The 2,755-nt window shown below is 39.7% G+C and overlaps 1 pseudogene; it reads right to left on the bottom strand.

Annotated features, from left to right (window-relative positions):
- TIMM17BP1 (translocase of inner mitochondrial membrane 17B pseudogene 1) lies at nucleotides 1,345-2,145 on the bottom strand (annotated as a pseudogene).

Here is a 2,755-nt window from a genome sequence, read left to right as displayed (position 1 = left end):
GTGGTCACAGCACAGCTCTGTTTTATATATTTCAGGGAGACATGAGACATCAATCAACATATGTAAAATGAACACTGGTTCAGTCTGAAAAAGTGGGACAACTCCAAGCAAAAGTGGGACAACTCAAAGTGGGGAGGGGGCTTCGAGGTCACAGGTAAATGAGAGACAAGTTGTTGCATTCTTTTGAGTTTCTGATTACCCTTTCCAAAGGAGGCAATCACATATGCATTTATCTCAGTGAGCAGAAGGATGACTTTGAACAGAATGGGAGGCAGGCTTTCCCTAAGCAGTTTCCAGCTCAAATTTTCCCTTTAGCTTAGTGATTTTAGAAACCCAAGATATTTTCCTTTCACACCTCCCAAAGGCTTTCTTTCTTCTACCTAATGAGACTGTAAGGTAGAAATTTTCATCCTGGGGCAAATTTATCACATTATCTAACCACCATAAAGTTTTATGACTTCTATCAGAAACTCTTCAGTTACTTGGTAGTATGACCACCATGAATATTGAAAGACTAAGGTGGAGAGATAAACTTACTAATTCTCCAGTTAGAACCATACTTTCTTGCCAAACTAGCTCTCATGAAAGTGTGTCAAGCGGGAAAAGTTATACATGGTGATAACGGTGACACATGTCTGCATCAAGCAGCTACAGAAAAAAAATCTCTTGTCCTAGCTCACTTGGATTTATGACTCTATTAAATTTAATTTTTTTGCCCATTTTACTTTGATATTCTGGCAAAGGTTTGCTGTTTTCTGAAATCAAACATTTAAATTTTCATTTACTAGGAATCACTATATAAACATTTCTTAAATAGCTCCATTTAGAATTTATAAAATTTTACTTAGGGTTGAAAACACAAATTTGAGATAAAGTAATGTAAAGATTTCATTAACTGTATGTAGAATAGTCACTCTCAAAATGATTGATTTGAATTTGAAAAAAGAAACTTCTTAACCTACATCTTGGCAAATAGTTTTGGCTTATTTATCTTGTTTCACTTTATTTATTTTTCTTTCTCATTGTTCCTTGTTTGCTGTTTGAATACTGCTCATCTCTTTTCTTATCTTACTTAACTTTTATTTTATGTCATTCCGAATATTCTTTATCTACTTTTTATTACAAAACATGAAAGATTTTTAGTGTAAAATATAAACAATCAAACATGCCAGAAGAGTTCCCTTTCAATACAGTGACGTCAAACTCTAGAGGTAAATATTTAATATTCTTAATTTTACATAATTTTTGGTCACCTTTCCATGTAAACATGCACCCATACACTTATAGACATATTGTGTGCAAAGAGTTGTATGTATTTTCCAAATGCGATCATATTTTTTTTGACATTTAAAATGGGCTTTAAATATACATCAGAGTGCCACACAAAGGAGCTGGGGTGAGAACTTGATACATGGGAATGTAGGGCTGGCGTGCCCCGAGAGAGAAAAAGGGGACCCATCTGTCAGGGCAGCTGCAGTGCCCCACCCCCAGCCTGGGACTAGGGAGCAGAGTAGAAGCCCTCTCTGGAGGGTCCCAGGGCTAACTAGGAGCTAGCCCTTCCTTCGAGGTAGATTATCGGGAAGAAAACCGAGAAGCAGCTCCCATGGTGGCAGTGGCTTCCTCAGTGGTACTAATAGCTGGGATAGCCTGGGGCCGGGGTGCCATCCTTAGGAGGCAGCTGGCTGGGGTCCTCCAGCAACAAGGGCACATTTTGGAACTGCTGGGCCGTGTAGCGAGTGAGGAGGATGCCAACGCCCTCAATGAGGGCCAACAGGATGCCCCCCATCATCGCTGAGCCCACCATGGCCAGTGGGCCACTGCAGGCTACCAGCACAGCCCCAGTCAATGCTCCACTGGTAATAGATTTCCAGGGATCCTCCTTGCCCTAAAGCCGCACCAGGCCACAGTCGATGGTGGAGAACAGGCCCCCCAACACTGCGAAGCTACCTCTAATCTGGGGAACTCGGATCCTCACAGTGTTGGCACTACCTCTCAACTGGTGCCGAATTCCAACAGGGTCATTGCGGAAACTCTTGATGGCCTGGAAGACTCCGCCACCAATGACACCCATAGTGAACGCTCCACAGCAATCATCCACAATTCGCCATGGGCAAGGCTCCCGAGCGTACTCCTCCATGGCACCGGACGCCCGCAAGCATACTTTTTATGTTACAACTATTCTTTTTACACAGTGATATAATATGCTTAGTTCATATTAAGCAAAAATTTAATTTGCTTTCTATATAAAGTATTTGGGCTACTAAACTTATTTAGCAGATCATCTACTGATGAAATTTTTAGATACTTCTGTTTAATTTTTTATTATTACAAATAGCATAGATATATATAAAGATACCTGTATGCGTACTTTTTGCCTGCTGTACTTGCTACATGAATCCAAACTTTTATCCAGTCTAGAAAAAGATACCACTAATTCTGCAGTTACATAATATGTAACATAAAATGTTCTAAGTTTTCTATGAGTATTAATGAGATCATGTATGACAGTAATGACTTTATTCATTTATGGAGAAATTATATATTTAAAGACAAGCATGTGCTAGGCATTCTTCTAGGTACTGTTGATACAGCAGTGAGCAAAACTGGCTTAAAAACCCTTTCCTCATGGAGCTTACATTTTAGTAAGGACAACCAGATCATAATATAAATAAATAATATAGCATGTGGGAGGTTGATGAATACAGAAGAAAAGAGAAATTAGACCAGGTATGGTGGCTCACGCCTGTAATCCCAG

Source organism: Homo sapiens, chromosome 12 (assembly GCF_000001405.40).
Source record: "Homo sapiens chromosome 12, GRCh38.p14 Primary Assembly".
Lineage (NCBI taxonomy): Eukaryota > Metazoa > Chordata > Mammalia > Primates > Hominidae > Homo > Homo sapiens.
This window is presented reverse-complemented; position numbering and strand designations above follow the sequence as displayed.